Source organism: Homo sapiens, chromosome 10 (genome assembly GCF_000001405.40).
Source record: "Homo sapiens chromosome 10, GRCh38.p14 Primary Assembly".
NCBI classification, from domain to species: domain Eukaryota; kingdom Metazoa; phylum Chordata; class Mammalia; order Primates; family Hominidae; genus Homo; species Homo sapiens.
Window position 1 is genome coordinate 70,716,010 of NC_000010.11, and position 16,630 is coordinate 70,732,639.

The 16,630-nt window shown below is 51.8% G+C and overlaps 1 protein-coding gene across 10 annotated transcripts in view; it reads left to right on the plus strand.

Annotated features, from left to right (window-relative positions):
- ADAMTS14 (ADAM metallopeptidase with thrombospondin type 1 motif 14) overlaps positions 1-16,630 on the plus strand; it is an 89,936-nt gene that overhangs the window by 43,504 nt on the left and 29,802 nt on the right. For 7 of the 10 annotated variants that reach the window (XR_001747025.2, NM_139155.3, XM_011539300.3 and 4 more), the window contains exons 5-7: positions 13,285-13,368; positions 14,093-14,249; positions 16,245-16,350. Coding sequence is in view for 9 of the 10 variants with exons in the window: in NM_139155.3 (NP_631894.2) it covers positions 13,285-13,368; positions 14,093-14,249; positions 16,245-16,350 (347 nt within the window). In the remaining variant the exon portion in view is untranslated. Of the gene's footprint in view, positions 1-2,767; positions 2,809-9,169; positions 9,334-13,284; positions 13,369-14,092; positions 14,250-16,244; positions 16,351-16,630 lie in introns of those variants that run through there. The other 3 variants (XM_011539302.2, XM_011539301.2, NM_080722.4) reach the window with 3 other exon arrangements.

Genomic DNA, 16,630 nt, shown 5'->3' on the forward strand with positions numbered 1-16,630 from the left:
TGACTTTTGACCCTTGACCTCTGACTCATGCATGACTCAAAGCTGTGGCCGGGGAACATTGTCAGTTTCCACTGAAGACTGGGCCCCGAGGGCCTGCCTTGGTGACTGCTGTTTGGATAGTCTTGGTCCTACCTTCCTTCTCCCCACAATCTGCCAGAAAGTGGGTGAGGAGAGAGGAGAGTAATGATCTTCCCAGAGGTTCTGGAAGGCCGCTAGAGGCTAGGTCTTCTGCTCACTGCTGGGTTGCCCTGTGAATGTGGGAACAGAAAGGGCCTGCGATGGGTGAGGGGCACAGCTGAGGCAGAGCTTCCCCTGAGGGAAGCCCAGTTCCTCTTGGGGAGAGAGGCTCACAGCATTGAGATGGACTGCGGCTTAAAGGAGCCATGACCTTGCAGACCTGCTGCTGCCATCGCGGGTACATGGGCGGTGTGGGGTTCTGGCTTCCCCCGAACAGGTGCAGAGGACGGACAGTCAAACTTCCCAGCAAGGGAAGGAGAGCAGATGGGGACCGACAGTCTGCCTCCCTGGGGACCAGCAGCTCATCCTGTCCATTGTGTGGAAGCTTTTATTTGGCTGGGATGCTTGACGCTCGAATTGCCTTAGGGGATTTCCATGGGGCCAGTAATAACAGCTTGCCTTTGCATTCCCCTTGGAACACCTGTCTGCTGTGACCATTTCTGATCCTGATTTCCGGGGCCAGGTCTGGGCTGGCGGGACCAGAGGGAGGAGATCTGGTTCCTGGGATGGATGGTCCCATTGTGCTCTCAACCCAGGGAGGAGGGGGCAGAAGCCATTAGTGAAGCACCCAAAGTTATCTGACAAGGCCCTGGGCACTGCTGTCAGGGGCAGCTGGAGGGACAGTCTGGGTGGCCCTGCCTCCTATATGTCTTTTGCATTGACCTGGGGAGGTGCTATGGATATTCCTGCAGCTTCAGATGATGCGACCGGGCTCCCCGCTCAGCCTTGTCGCACACGCTGCTGGGCGCTGTCTTTTTCTGTGCCTGTTTGCACATCTATACTGGGTCATCTTCCTTAAGACTTCTTCAAATCTCAGGACTAGAGAACCATTTGAGCACTTTGAAGCATAAAGGGGTAGTTGTTTTCAGCATTTAGTGAGTACGTGTTGTGTGCCTTGTATCACAGACAGACTCCCATCGTGGAAGTTTTGGTCTGGCTGCAAAAACAAGCCTTAGTCCTATGGAATAATCAGGGAACCACTGAGAATGGTACCAGTACCAAGGAGCTTAGAGGGGGTGCTGTCCCTGTGGGGTTGTGGAGAGAGGAGGGCTGTCTACAGGGGCTCATTGCTGAGCCTGCCCTGGGGGAGAGGGCAATTTGGAGAGGGGAGGGCATGTGGGCCAGGGCGGCAGACAGCACAGCAAGGTTGTGGGGGTAGGGTTGAGGAAGGAGACCCAAGTGTGTGGCAACAGGTGACAGAAGCCTGCAGAGACCTCCCTGGCATCTAGGTGTGGCGGGATGGCTGGCAAGGCAGCAGTATGGACTGTGGCGTAAAGAAGAGGCATGAGAACAGCTCCCCGTGGTGGCATCCAAGGTGGATCTGCAGGTTCCCAGGGTCCTCTCCTGGCCCAGGGGTGATGGACCAGTTCTCTGGGGCGAGGACCTCTTTGGACATGGGGATATTGGGGAACCTCCTAGGGCCTGGAACTGGAGCACAGGGAGGGTGAGAAGAGAGACAGAGAGGCCCTTTCATCATTTCCTTCCAGCCAGGTTGCAGCCAGAAGCTTCCAGTCTGTTTCCTCTAGAAACCCTCTTGGCAGCCAGCCTGTCTGGATGATAGGTGCCTGGTCCACCTCCACTCCCCACCCTGCCCCACCTGGCTGACAATACATAGATGTTGGGGTGGTTGCCGGGACAACACTGGCTAGCACCTCTGCCAATTGTAGGGTCCTACCAGCTCTGACCTGCCTCAGAGCCCCTTTCTGAGCCTGGGGCCTGCTCAGATGGCCTGTATAGAAGAGCTTGGTGCCTGTTTTAGACCTGGGAGGTTTTGGCGCAGTTGGCTGTCAGATCAGGGCCTTGGTGGCCTCAGCCTGGAAGGGTGGCATTTTGTTTGTTTGCCCTTGACATGCATTACACATCCATCATAAAGCCTGGTTTGGAACACCACAAAAACTGCTTTCCTGCTGACGGAGAGTGTGGCTTTGCCAGACATTCTCCTTTTGGGTAGATGAAACTCTAAGGAGCTCATCCTCCTTGACACGAAGCAGACAATCCTCTTCTTTCCTCTCTTTTTGGTCTTTTTCTCTTCTTTTATGTCTCTTCCCCAAAACTGCTTTTGTGAAAAGTAAAAAAACTCATTCACTGTAAAGCAGTAGTTCTTTTTAAAGTTTATTTTATTTATTATATTTATTTTATTTAAAAGTTATTTTATTTTTTTGAGACGGAGTTTCACTGTTGCCCAGGCTGGAGTGCAGTGGTGCGATCTCGGCTCACTGCAACCTCCGTCTCGCAGGTTCAAGTGATTCTCCTGCCTCAGACTCCTGAGTAGCTGGGGTTACAGGCGTGCCACCACACCCAGGTAATTTTTGTATTTTTAGTAGTGATGGGGATTCGCTGTGTTGGCCAGGCTTGTCTCGAACACCTGACCTCAAGTGACCTGCCCGCCTCAGCCTCCCAAAGTGCTGGGATTACAGGTGTGAGCCAGGGTGCCCAGCCTTTTTTTTTTTTTAAAGACAGTGTCTTGCTTTGTCACCCAGGCAGGAGCGCAGTGGTGCAATCATGGCTCACTGCAGCCTCAACCTTCTGGGCTCAAGGGATCCTCCTGACTCAGTCTCCTAAGCACCACAGGTGAGTACCACCATGCTTGCCTAATTTTCTTCTTCTTCTTCTTTTTTTTTTAATTTTTAGTAGAGACAGGGTCTTACTATATTACCCAAGCTGGTCTTGAACTCCTGGCCTCAAGCAATCCTCCTGCCTTGGCCCCCCAGAGTGCTGGGATTACAGGTATGAGCCATGGCACCCACCCAAGCAGTAGTTCTTAACCAGGGACATTTGGTAATGTCTGGAGATATTTTTGGTTATCACAGCTAGAGGGGATGGGGTGCTACCGGCATCTAGTTGGTAGAGGCCAGGGATTCCACTAAACATCTTAGAATGCACAGAACAGCTCCCCCAACTGAGATCATCCACATCAAATTGTCCACTGAGACCCCCTGACCTATGGTATTAGTTCCAATTGCCACACACAGGAATTTTCAAAGCAAACCCACTGGGCAGAGAATGATGTGCTGGGAATCTTGGTGTGAGAGATATGTGGTAGTGAGCACCCTCCTGCAAAGAGAGTTTTATGGTTCACACAACACTTTTGCTTTCGTGGACAGCATCTCACTCCACAAATACACACACACACACACACACACACACACACACACACACACACACACTTTTTAGAGGTAGGGTCTTGCTTTGTCACCCAGGCTGGAGTGCAGTGGTGCGATCATGGCTCACTGTAGCCTCGACCTCCTGGGCTCAAGTGATCCTCCTGCCTCAGCCTCCCAAGTAGCTGGGACTATAGGCATGGCTGACTGTGCCCAGCTAATTTTTATTTTTTTTTTTAAAAAATAGACAAGGTCTCACTACGTTGCTCAGACTGGTCTTGAATTCCTGAGCTCAAACAATCCTCCTGCCTCAGCCTCCCAAAGTGCTGGTATTATAGGCATGAGCCATTGTGCCTGGCTGAAATAAGTTTTAAACTAACAGATGCCATTGATCAAGCACATGCTATGGGCCAGGCCTGGTTTCAAAGCCTTGACATCTGTTTTTCCCCTCCACTCTCCTGCCTCTGCAAGCTATGTTTCCTCCACACCCACAGATGAGCAGGGTCGAGCTCCAAGAGGTAAGACCATGCAGTGGTGAGACGTGGCAGAGCTCGACCTTCACAGGCCTCCACACTGCCTCTGTTTACACACAAGCTGCCAGCCTGGGACATCGAGGCTGCTGCGTTTCACAAATAGGTTGTGGGGGATAAATGCTGAGCATTGTGGGCTTGTGAGAGGGACTCTTTTGGGCTGGGTGGGTCCATCCCTGTGCACCCTGGTGCCACTCTGCACATGCAGCCTGGGCATGAGGTGGGCTGAGCAGCTGGATCCCTGGAGCACCACCCAGACCAGCCTGTAGGCTCCAGGAGCTCCAGAGACAGTCACCCTTTAAGAGGTGTGCTGATTAAAAGGCAGCTAAAAGTGCTCACTTGGAACCCACACCAGCCCTTTAAAATATAGGGCATGATCATGAGCTTGGCAGAGAGGGAAGATGGAGCAGCTGAGCCTGCAGCAGCTGAGAAAGAAGTCGGGAGACTCAGCACTTTCCTTCCACTCCCCTGAGAGCAGCCTCATCCTCCAAGACCTTAAACACCTCACTAGTGACCTCGGAGGCAGGGCCTACCAATGTGGTATGTGGCATAAAATCATGGGGTATCTGACCATCATGGAGCCTTAGATTTGATGAAATATGGCACACATGTGAACTTGTCTGTGTGTGCACACCTGAGCATGGCATCTTGGTGAGGTCTTAGTGTCCCAACCCAGGGTAAACCAGACCCAGCTCTGGCTACTGCGAGGGTCAGCCCCAGAGGGCTGGGGAAGGCAGAGAGCTCAGACCACAGGTAGTAGTATATTGCTGTTAAACATCCACATACATGCACATGTGTACACACATACAACACAGGTACCCACACACATGCACATGCGTGCACACATATAATACGGGTACCCACACACAAGCATATACCTGTGCATGTTTAGTCATCGGCATGTGTAACACAGGTGTGTTTGTGTAGATACACGCACCCATGTGTACCATACCAAATTAGATGTGTGCACACAGACCAGTTCACATATGTACCATATTTCATCAAATCTAAGACCACACTGATGGTCAGATACCCCATTATTTTATGTCCTTAAGAACGAAAAAGTGTTACCAATGAAACTCTGTTCATCACTTAGCATTTTTACTGTAGACTTATTAGAAGAGAGCTTTTTCTCTTTTTTCTTTTTTTTTTTTTTTTTTTTTTTGAGATGGACTCTTGCTCTGTCACCCAGGCTGGAGTGCAGTGGTGTGATCTCAGCTCACCACAACCTCCACCTCCCGGGTTCAAGTGATTCTCCTGCCTCAGCCTCCTGAGGAGCTGGTATTACAGGTGCATGTCACCATGCCTGGCTAATTTTTCTATTTTTAGTAGAGACGGGGTTTCACCATGTTGGTAAGGCTGGTCTCCAACTCCTGACCTTGTGATCCTCCTGCCTCAGCCTCCCAAAGTGCTGGGATTACAGGCGTGAGCCACCACACCCAGCTAGAAGACAGCTTTTAACCTCAGTTAGACTTAGGTCTTTATCATATGTTACTCTTTTTTTTTTTCTCTTTTCTTTTTGTTTTGAGATGGAGTCTTGCTCTATTGCCCAGGATGGAGTGCAGTGGTGCGATCTCAGCTCACTGCAAGCTCTGCCTCCCAGGTTCACGCCATTCTCCTGCCTCAGCCTCCCGAGTAGCTAGGACTACAGGTACCCGCCACCACGCCTGGCTAATTTTTTCTGTATTGTTAGTAGAGACGGGGTTTCACCGTGTTAGCCAGGATGGTCTCAGTCTCCTGACCTCGTGATCCACCCGCCTTGGCCTTCCAAAGTGCTGGGATTACAGGCGTGAGCCACTGCGCCTGGCCTATCATATGTTACTCTTGTACACACACAGATAAGGCAACATGAACAGGTGAAGAGTTCCCCTAACTTCTTCACATTCAGAGCAGTGCCCTTGCATGTCACATTTCAGCACAGTCAGCATAGTCCTCAGTGTGTGACCTTTCCATGCAGCATTGCCCTGCCTGCCATCGAGAGCAGGGATGGTGCCACCTGAGGGCTCCACTGGCATCCTTGGATTTTCATACAAGCTACGGACAGCATCCTGTGGATTTGATGCTGGAGCCAGATTGATTTTACTGGGAGGTGTCAATGGGAGGTTTTCAGACAACACCCAGGATTCACATTCCTGCCTCTGATAGTTTGTTACCTGAAATGACGAAGGCTGTGGTTGTGAAGCCACCAGGAATGACAGAGGCTCTTGCTTGCACTGGCAGTGACACTCACCCCTGGGCTGCCCCCTGGCTAACAGTGATTGTAAACATGAAAAAGAGGAGCCTACTGGACTCAATAGGATGCAGCATGTGTCTTGGGGGTGCTGGGGGCTAGAGCACATGGTCTGCAGAGTCACCTTGTGCCTTGTGAGAAGGGCCAGGGTTGCACACCAAGGGGCTGGTCCAGGGCCTGAGACTCCATGTTGCTGTCGTCTCCCTAGGACTGAGAAAGGACAGGAGGGGTCACTGTGGCCATTCCTCTGTCTTCAAGCAATGTTGCCCACATCTGTCCAGGTTCAGAGGCAGTAAGTGATCAGGGAAGGTGTATGAGCAGGTCAGGTTTTCCAAGGCCTGGGCTTGTCCTCTGACAATGACTGCTGTCCTCAGGCAAGCTTCCGTATACCTTTGGGCCTGCCTGTATCCCTGAAAACAGGGATAGCATACCATCCTCCTTGGAGGTCCTTGGAGAAATGGCTGACTCTGGGACTAGGGCAGGGAATATGCAAGATGACCCCGGAGCATCTCCTAGAGCCAGAAAGTAATGAAGTGTTAAAAAACATACCCCAAATCCCCAAACCATGGGGGTGTGTTTACAGGACACAGGACCCAACTCAAAGAGCTCTCAACCACCAAAGCTGTGACAATTTGAGCAACAAAACAAATCACAGAGAATTATAGCCCAAGGTATAAAATAGATAAAAGTCCATACTGATAACATAAATGATAGAATAAATAAACGAAGAAGGGACAAATCTCCCATGCAGAGTAATTCCAGTTTATTCATGTAGAGACTCCGTCTTCAAGGAGGTGGATTTTAACTCCCCACTCCCTAGATGTGGCCACACATAGTGACTTTCTTCTCAAGAATTCAGTATGGAAATCAGGGAGCAGAGGGTAACTTTCAGTGAAGAAACCTGACAAACACTCCCTCAGCTGGGTGATGAAGGCCAACAGCAACAGTGATGAGTCAGGCTGGTATCATGCACCCTTGACATGGCCTGATGAGGAAGCACCTTACCCCTGTGGGCTTCCTCCCCAATAGCCCCCATCTAACCATGAGAAAACCATCAGACGTACCCTAATTGAAGGACACAAAATACCTGCTCAGTGCTGCTCAAGACTTTTGATGACTCAGTGCTGGTCATCAAAAACCAGAAGGTGGGAGAACCTGTCACAGAGAAGAAACAGAGCAGAGGGGCTAAGGAGACAGGAAGTTTAAATGGAATGTGGCACCCTGGATGGGACCAGGACATTTGGGGGAAATTAGAGAAATCTGAATAAAATGTAGACTTTAGTTAATAACAGCATGTCAGTATTGGTTCGTTAACTGTGACAACCATACCATAGTAATGGAAGATGTTAACATTTGGAATAAACTGGGTATGGGGAGTTTCTGTAATATCCTTGCAACTTTTAGCTGAACCTAAAGTTATTTTAAAATAAAGTTTATTTTTAGAATAATAGGAATTCCAGGCCATTCGCCGCGAGGATTCAGTGAAGCAATGCAAGGAGGCGCTTGTGGGCTGTGCCAGCCATTAGTGGCAATGAGTGTTCTGCTTCTGTTTGAGCGCGGGTGGGCTTAATACCCCCAGGGTCTTGCTTTTTCAGCACTGGCCTCCACCTCTCCCTGTTTAAGACCTGCCCGAGCCTGGCTACCAAGCAGTGAGTGGACCTTTTACAACCTTCTTGAGTTGTAAACGCTCCTCATTCTCTCTCCTGGGCCAGAGAAAGCCCACCCCAGCCACCCTGCCACAGAAACTGGTTCTGGACAGCAGCTGAGTGTAGTGGCTAAGGAAGTGGGCCTGAGAGTCACAGAAATCTGAGTTCAACTCTTGGCCTTCTCACTTCTAGCTGCGTGGCCTTGGGCAAGTTACTTACCCTCTCTGAACCTTGGATGTCTTGCCTATGAGACGGAAATAATTCCTCTCCCCATAGGGTTGTTGTGAGGCTGTATGCCAAGCCCTTGGCACAGTGCCTGGCACACAGTAGGTGCTTGGGGAGTAGCAGTGCCTCCCTCTAATCCCAGTACCCTCTACCATCTTCTCTTGTGCTGCCTTTTCTTCCCTTGGTCAGAGAGTGTCCTGACTTTTGCTTGTTTTTCTGGTACATACCCAGTGGTTATCTCAGGTCAATATGTGGTGCTGAATCCTAATGTAGGGGTCCTGGCAGAGGTACTTTGAACATGGCGCAGAGGTGACTTTGAACTTGGCTCAGAGGTGAGGAGCAGGGAAGCTGGACACACTGCTCTGTTCTGCCCTGTGGGTGTGCCTCGTAGCCATCCTGTCTCGTGCCCAACCATGGGAAGCGATCCGTGATCTCCCCTGAGCTAGCTCCCTGGCCTCACCTCTGGTGTTTGGGAGGCAGCCATGGAGGGCCAAGGCAGACAGGGCCAGGTCCTGGGTGCACAGCCAGGCTGGAGTCTGTCAGCGAGCTACCTGTGCATGTTCCAGAGCAGCTGAGGTCCTGGCCATGGTGCCATGTGTCACACGGCCTCTGCAGTTCTACCAGACATGGCAGCCCTGTCCAGCCACCTTCTTGGCCTGTGCAAAGTCTCAGGCAGCTTGAGCCAAATCAAAGACGCTGAGGTCCCTACTCAAGGGCTGGGGATGGCAGGGGTGTGTGCAGATGAGCGTACCAGGGCGCCAGAGGACTGCAACAGGGGACTTGGAATGGAAGGGCTAACTCCACCTTTTTTTTTAATGGGGTAGAAAGGGAATAAAATAAAAGCAGTTTATTTTTATCATCCTTATTTAGTATAAGAAAAGACCCAACTGTTTCTCATTGCCAAGCTCCTTTTCTATCACAGCCTCAAAACTCTTCACTTCTCCTTGTGCTTTAGGCTTCCTTTTTGGGATCATTTTCCATCTTCCCTGCCATTCCTTTAGTGGGGTCTGTGTAACAGTTTTTGTTTATCTGATAATGTCTTCATTTCATCATGGTCCTTAAAAGATGGTTTTGTGAGTTCAGGATTCTAGGTTGATGGTTTCTTTATCTCGGTGCTTAGATGGTGCTAATACAGTGTTTTCCGTTTGGTGAGTGATCTGTATTCTCTTTGACGGAGGTGTGCTTACAGGGAAGTCCATAAGAGACTGCGGTCACTGTCCGTCCCCAGAAAGGGAGCAGACATGCTCAGTGAAACTGCCAGCAGGAGACTTAAGGCCAGCAGAGGACGTGGAAGGGAAGGCTGAACAGGTCTCATGCCCCAGGGAACTTTCCAATGATGAAAAACTCCCCACTATTCAGTGCATGTGAGTACTGGCTGGGAAGAAATTCCCTGTCAGATGGAGGGGGATGGCTTAGCCTGTTTGGGCTGCTGTAACAAAATATCCTGTGAGTAGCATAGAAACAACAGAAATTTATTTCTCACAGTTCTGGAGGCTGGGAAGTCCAAGATCAGGGCACCAGCAGATTTGGTGACTGGTGAGAGCCCGCCCACTTTCTGGTTCATAGATGGTGACTTCTCACTGTGTCCTCACATGGTAGAAGGAGTGAGGGGGTCTTTCAGGGGCTCCTTTTATAAGGACACTAATCCCATTCAGGAGGGCTCTGCCTTTATGACTTAATTACCCCCTAATGCCCTATCTCCTAATACCATTCCCTTGGGAGTTGGATTTCAACATATGAATTTTGGGGCAACACCAACATTCAGACCAAAGCAGTTGACTTTAGCTACCTTGGTTGCCAGTGACCTTGGGGTTCTCTTGGTGGCCCCACGTGGCTCATGCCTTCCTCTCCCCTGCTGCAAGCCTCTGCCCCTCTCCTTTTAAGGGCCCACAACCTTCTTGGTCCAGGGATCGTTCCAGCTCCTCCACTGAGACTTCCCTGAGCCCTCCTGCCCAGACGCTGTTTCCCTTTTCTCCAGATCCTGGAGCTGGGTGGTGGGGGTGGGGGCCTGAGCTGCAGAACTCAGAACACCAGGCACCTGAAGCCCTTGGTCTCGGGTTGCTTCTCAGTGGTATCTCCAGATGGGCTGTCCCTTTCTGTTTACATAGCATTTGCATCTAGGCCAGTTACCAGGGAGTGGGAAGTGGCATCAGGGGGCCTCACCCCACCTCCTGCCAATGTTGGACAGATGAGCTGTGATTCTATCTCCTGCTCAGACAGGCAGCAGCCCCCTGCCCAGTCCCACTGTAAGGACCTCTCAATGTCCTGAGCTGGAGATGGCAGCTGTTGGAGCAAGGGTCATTGGAGGCTTTGATGAGTGGGTTTGGCCTGTTGAGTGAGGTACAGAAATGAGAAATATGGCAGGAGTCTGGCAGCAATTCACATGGTCTGCCTTACAAGAAAGACACGTGGAGGAAGGCAGCAGCCCTGGGCATTTCCAGATGCCCAGAGGCCCAGCAGATGCCCCCGCTGAATGTCCCAGTGACTCCTTTCTTCTCCTGCCCCCGGGATAACTGATGGGTTTACATGAGTATGCGTGGGACACAGATGTGGCTGTGCAGAGCGTGCATTGCCTGTGATCCTGTCCTTAGTCTGCTTATAGTGCACTCAGGGAGGTCTGCAACACTTACCCACCCCAGTACAGAAGGAAGGCCGTGATCCAGTGTTGGAGGGGCTGGGAAGTAAGGGTTACTTAAGGGTCACCCTACTGCAGATCCATGATCATCTCAGTGATCAGCAAAGACTCCTTAGTTTAGAATTCCACCAGGGAGCCTATGTGTGTGTGTGACTGATTGGGTGCCCCCTACTCCACCCTGAAGTCCCTCCTAGGATAAGTCTAGGGTGTGTGGATTGAGGAGGACATTGTCTCTACGCATTGGAGCACTTTACTCCCACTGGGGAGGGGAGGAGTTTGGGAAGGAAGCCCTGCTGCTCGTTGGACTATGGTCATTTCTTGTGGTGGGCATTGGCATTGTTCCTTGTGGTGGGGTGTTGGCAGGGAGCTGCTTCCCCTCAGTGGGTGCTGGTCTTTGGTCTTGCTACTCAATTGGATCCAGATATGGGTGCCAGGAAGGCCCATGGCTGAAGCCTGACACCGGCTGCTCTGAAGTCTGCCCATTCATGAACTGGGGCAGCTGCCAGTTCTGGGCACTGCGGAAAGTGGCTTGGGACTGGGGCTTGGTGATGCACGCGGCTTCTGCTGCCCACAGTTTCGTGCTTACAGCCTGGCTGCCTCCTTGGCTGGCCCAGAAGGGGTATGCCAGCAAAGCGTACATCTCCTGTTCCCCTCCTGGCTCACCCCTTGCCATGGGACTGTCACGCCTGTGTGGTTGGAAGTGCTATTACTCTTCTCCGTGTGGTGGACAATGGTTGCTTTGTGGGTTGTAGGTTGATCACTTTGCTTTTGAGTGGAAAAGAATTGATGGCTGAAGGGCATGGGGAGATGGAAGTAGTGAGAGCAAGACTATGCATGGAGCTCCGGCCCAGCTCCTAGGAAGCCATGTGGGCAGGAGGCAGAGGCTGGGTTCCACTTCTGATGGCATCACCTCCCTAACCGCACTGCTGGCATCACATCCCTGACCGCGCTGGTGGCATCACATCCCTGACTGCGCTGGTGGCATCACATCCCTGACCACACTGCTGGCATCACATCCCTGACCATGCTGGTGGCATCACATCCCTGACCACACTGCTGGCATCACATCCCTGACCATGCTGGTGGCATCACATCCCTGACCACACTGCTGGCATCACATCCCTGATGGCGGCAGTGGCATTTTTTTGTAGAGACAGGGTCTCACTATGTTGCCCAGGCTGGTTTCAAAATCTTGGCCTCGGCCGGGCGCGGTGGCTCACGCCTGTAATCCCAGCACTTTGGGAGGCTGAGGCGGGTGGATCATGAGGTCAGGAGATCGAGACCATCCTGGCTAACACGGTGAAACCCCGTCTCTACTAAAAATACAAAATAATTAGAAGGGTGTGGTGGCGGGTGCCTGTAGTCCCAGCTACTCAGGAGGCTGAGGCAGAAGAATGGCATGAACCCAGGAGGTGGAGTTTGCAGTGAGCCGAGATCGCACCACTGCGCTCCAGCCTGGGCAATAGAGCGAGACTCCACCTCAAAAAAAAAAAAAAAAATCTTGGCCTCAAGTGAGCCTCCTACCTTGGCCTCCCAAAGCACTAGGATTACAGGCATAAGCCACCGTGCCTATGCCCGGTCAAGATTAGGCTTTTAAATGTATTGAATGATGTTCCATGAAACAAGCAACATAGAAACAGTATATTCAGTATGATTCCAATTTTGTAAAATAAGATGCATGCATGTACACACGTGGCATGATGCAGGTTAACTGTAGTTATTATTAAGTCTGACTAATAGTAGTGTCGGTGATTTCATTTTCTTTTTTTGTAGTTTTCAGTTTTTATTTCTAGTGAGGTGTTTTGTATTCATAAACAAGGTTATTTAAAACAAAAAAGCTGGAGTATCCAATGGGACCACTCAGGAAATGGGTGTCCCCAGGAGAGGGTGAACTCCCTTTCCTTTAGGGTGGACAAGCAGAGGCTGAGTGTCCGCCTCATGAACACTGTTCAGGAGCTTCCTGGCAGAGGAGTGCAAAGGGCTGCATTCTTTGATGAGCTGTGCAGGGCACTGGCCCACAGTCCTGGGCCTGTGAGAAAAAGGGATTATCTAGAGCAGTGCTCTTCAAACTTGCCTATGCCTGCCAGTCAGCTGGGGATCTTGTTCAATTGCAGATCCTTATTCAGGAGGCCTGGGGTGGGGCCCAAGACTCTGCATTTCTCACAAGCTCCCAGGTGCTGCTGCTGCTCCAAGGTCCTGGAGTATGTCTCCTGGAGGAGTGCCCACTGCTGCCTCCCCAGGGCCGGGGTACTGTAGGGCAGACATTATGCCAGTGGCAACTGGAACGGTACACAGGGATGTTAGGGCGAGTGGCCTGTGGTTCCCTGAGCCAGGTGACCTGTCTGGAAGAGGCTCTCCAGACGTGGAAAGATGAGTCTTGGTCAGAGTTGCTGAGTTTGAGACCAGGCCCTCTACAATGTGGCTTTGTGGAAAGAGCTCATGGTTGGGATTACATGGTCTAAGATGTGAATCCCAGTTCTGCAGCTTGCTAGCAGTGTGTCCTCGGGCAGGTCATTTTGCCCCCTCAGTCTCAGTTTCTTTATCTGTAAAGTAGGATAAGTATCTTGCCTGATAAGGTCACGGTGGGGATACCATATGTTAGGTACCTACCCCAGTACCTGGCATGCAGTAGGCTTGTAATGAATGTTTCCTTCCCTTAAACTGTATTTTCTTCTTGCAGGTAGATGAGATTTACCACGATGAGTCCCTGGGGGTTCATATAAATATTGCCCTCGTCCGCTTGATCATGGTTGGCTACCGACAGGTAAACCACCTTGTCAGCAGGCAGGGTTTGCGGGGAGAAGGGTTGTGGGGCCAGAGTGTTGGACCAGCAATGGTGTGGGCTGCAGGGGTAAGCATCCAGGAATCTGTTTCCAGAATCAGAACTTGAGGCTATTAGAATTGTGGCTTCAGTGATGGAGCCTTTGGAGGTGGTAAGCAGCAATTTATGGTTTCCTACAATCTGAGAAACTGACGATTCCACACCTTTATCACTGGGAGATCCCTCTTCTTGGGGAAACTGGGGCTTACAGTGGGGTGGCCACTGAGACAAGTCATGTTATGGTTGAGCCCTGGTGCCCTGCGCTCTGCAATCTTAGACTACCAGTCACCTATTATTAAATGGGGGTAGCCACCAAACTTTCCTGTAAGGGCTATTGTGAAGATTAAATAAAGCAATGAATGCAAAGTATAGAGGAAATGCTCAGAACAGCACCTGCCTTGCAGGTTAGTTGAAGGGATTGGAAATTGTGTGTGTGAAGTTCCCGGCAGAAACGCATCTCAGCATGGTGCTTGGCACGTGATCATCCCTGAAAGCAGGCAGGGCTGTGTGCCAGCAGCAGTTGAGTGGGGACAGCTGGTGATCTTGGGGTGGGTCCTGCAGTCCTCTGGGCCTTAGCGTTCCCATCTGTAAGTGGGAGGAGAGAGGCCTGCTGTTTCTAGGGCTCTGACCCTCCACGTGGCTGTTGGTGCTCTCCCGGCCCCTGCAGTCCCTGAGCCTGATCGAGCGCGGGAACCCCTCACGCAGCCTGGAGCAGGTGTGTCGCTGGGCACACTCCCAGCAGCGCCAGGACCCCAGCCACGCTGAGCACCATGACCACGTTGTGTTCCTCACCCGGCAGGACTTTGGGCCCTCAGGTATGCAAGGTACTGTATTTGCCATGGCCAGGTGTGTGCAGCATGCACGGCAGACAGAGGCTGGGCCTGGAGGCAGATGGGCTCTCTTCTGGGGCCCACCACATGGAGGTTTGAAGGGATGGGACCTGGACAGCCGAGGATGAGCTTTGCAATGGTTTATTGGGACCGTGGGAAGTAGAGGGGTCCCTACTCTTGTCCCCGATATTTTGGTGGAGGCTGCAGGCAGCTGTGAGTGGTCAGGCCCTGGGTCCTGTGCTTAATGTCCCAGAGCCTGGCTGCTGGAAGACCCTCCATGGGCTTCAAGATGCTTCTCTCCACACTGTGTCCTTCTGTCCTCATTGCAGACTGTGGGACACCTAAGATGGGGCTTGTGTGGGCTGCAGAACAGGAAGTCTGTGCTCTGCCTCCAGCTCCACACCTTGCCAACCCAGTGGTCCAAGATCTCTTCATCTCCCTGGGTCCTCCCAATTGTGGAATGGGGAACATCATAATACTTGCCTTCCCCCATTCCAGGGCTGCTAAAGGCCCCGGGGGTGCATGACATGTTTGTGACAGAGTATTGACAATTGTAAATACTCTGCAAACATGCAGCTTTGATACCCATATGGGGAAACTGAGCCATGGGGTGGTGAAGAGACTTGCCCATGTGGTTTAGCAGACAGGAGGCAGATGTGAGACTCAAACTGGATCTCCAGGTTCCATGTTGAAGGCTTTCTATTTTTTTCTGCTTTAATGCTGGAAATCAGTTGGTCAGCCCTGCCTACCCAAAAATTTCTTGTCTGAATGACTGAAGCCCCAAATGTGGTTTTACACACCACACACACACACACACACACACACACGTACAGACATCCACACACATGTACAGGCCCATGTGCACACAGACACATGCACACATGCAAATAGACATAAGCCAGTGTGTACATGTACAGATATACAAACACACACGTATACACAGACACACAGAGACACTGCATACATGTAGAGACACAAAGACACATGTACATGCATGCACAGGCACTCACATAGACACAGACATGCACACACATGTATATCACATGTAGAGCAAATCTCAGCCTTCCAGGACAACAGAGGCCCCAGAAACCTCCTTCCCACTCAGCCTCTTGCTATACTCCCCAAACCATGTCAAATAAAAGAACATTTCAGCTCCTCTAACATGAAGGAATAGCTCTGTCTGGGGGGACTGCAGGCCTAGGCAGGGACATGCCCTTTGTCATTACCCCCACCTTGGAGGCCCCTAGGACACAGGCCTCATGCATGGTAGTGCTTAGCTGGTGCCGGCCCCCCTGCACTGCCATGATTCCTGTGTGGCCTGCCTGCACCTTGGCCTGTGTCCTCCCCACCTCTGAAGAGTTGTCTCAGCTGTCCTTCACTGCCCTCCATCAGCCATTCCTGGTCCCCCTCAACTCCTTCCAAACCATTCCCTTTCCCCTTCCTCCAGCTCCCCCGCTGCACCCTGGCTTGCTTCTTGAATTCTAGCCTTTCTGGCCCATGCCTCATCACGTGATCTCCCTGCCAAACCACAGTTCTTTAGCTGTGGTGGTGGGTGGGTAGCGGGGTGTTGCAGGGTCGGGGTAGGCTCGGATCTGAGTCTCCTGTTTTCCCCCTGGTACCTAACATAATGCTGCCCCCAACTCCTGCATAGAAAGTGTTCGGAGCTTGTTTGCTGATTGACTGTGGGACTGGAGGGAGGCATTGTGGAAGTAGTGTGTTTGCAGGCCCGGGTGTTCTCTGGTTTAGAGGGGCGCTGATAAACCCTGGGAAACTGCAGGCCAAGAGGGAAGCCATCAAGCCCTAGGATGTGAGGGTGGCTTGGCCCAGGTTTGTTTGGCTGCAGGTGGGACTTTGTGAGCATCTGTCTTCCTCCAGGAACGTCCCCACTCCAAGCACTGACCAGAGGGCTGGGCTGGGCACAGACCTCAGTGTGTCCTGCCTCACCTGCCCTCCACCTCGCTCTCCACCTTTTCTTTCTCTCTTCGGCAGGGTATGCACCCGTCACTGGCATGTGTCACCCCCTGAGGAGCTGTGCCCTCAACCATGAGGATGGCTTCTCCTCAGCCTTCGTGATAGCTCATGAGACCGGCCACGTGTAAGTGGCAGCAGCACGGTGGGTGGGACTGGCAGCTGTGCCGTGAGCTCCAGGGAATTCTGTGGCTGTGGGAGGATTTGCCCAGCTTGGCCTGGTTCCAGTGTCCTGGGAGGTGTCAGAGGAGCTGGACTGCCACTGCGGCATGGCCTCCTGCAGTTACCAGTAGAGGGAGGCCCTAACCTGAGTTAGGAGGAGCCAAGGGGCATGAGTAGTAATTTGGGCCTGCCTTGGGCCCAGCCTCCAAATCCCAGGGCCATAGGGGACCAGATGTGGCCCTGCC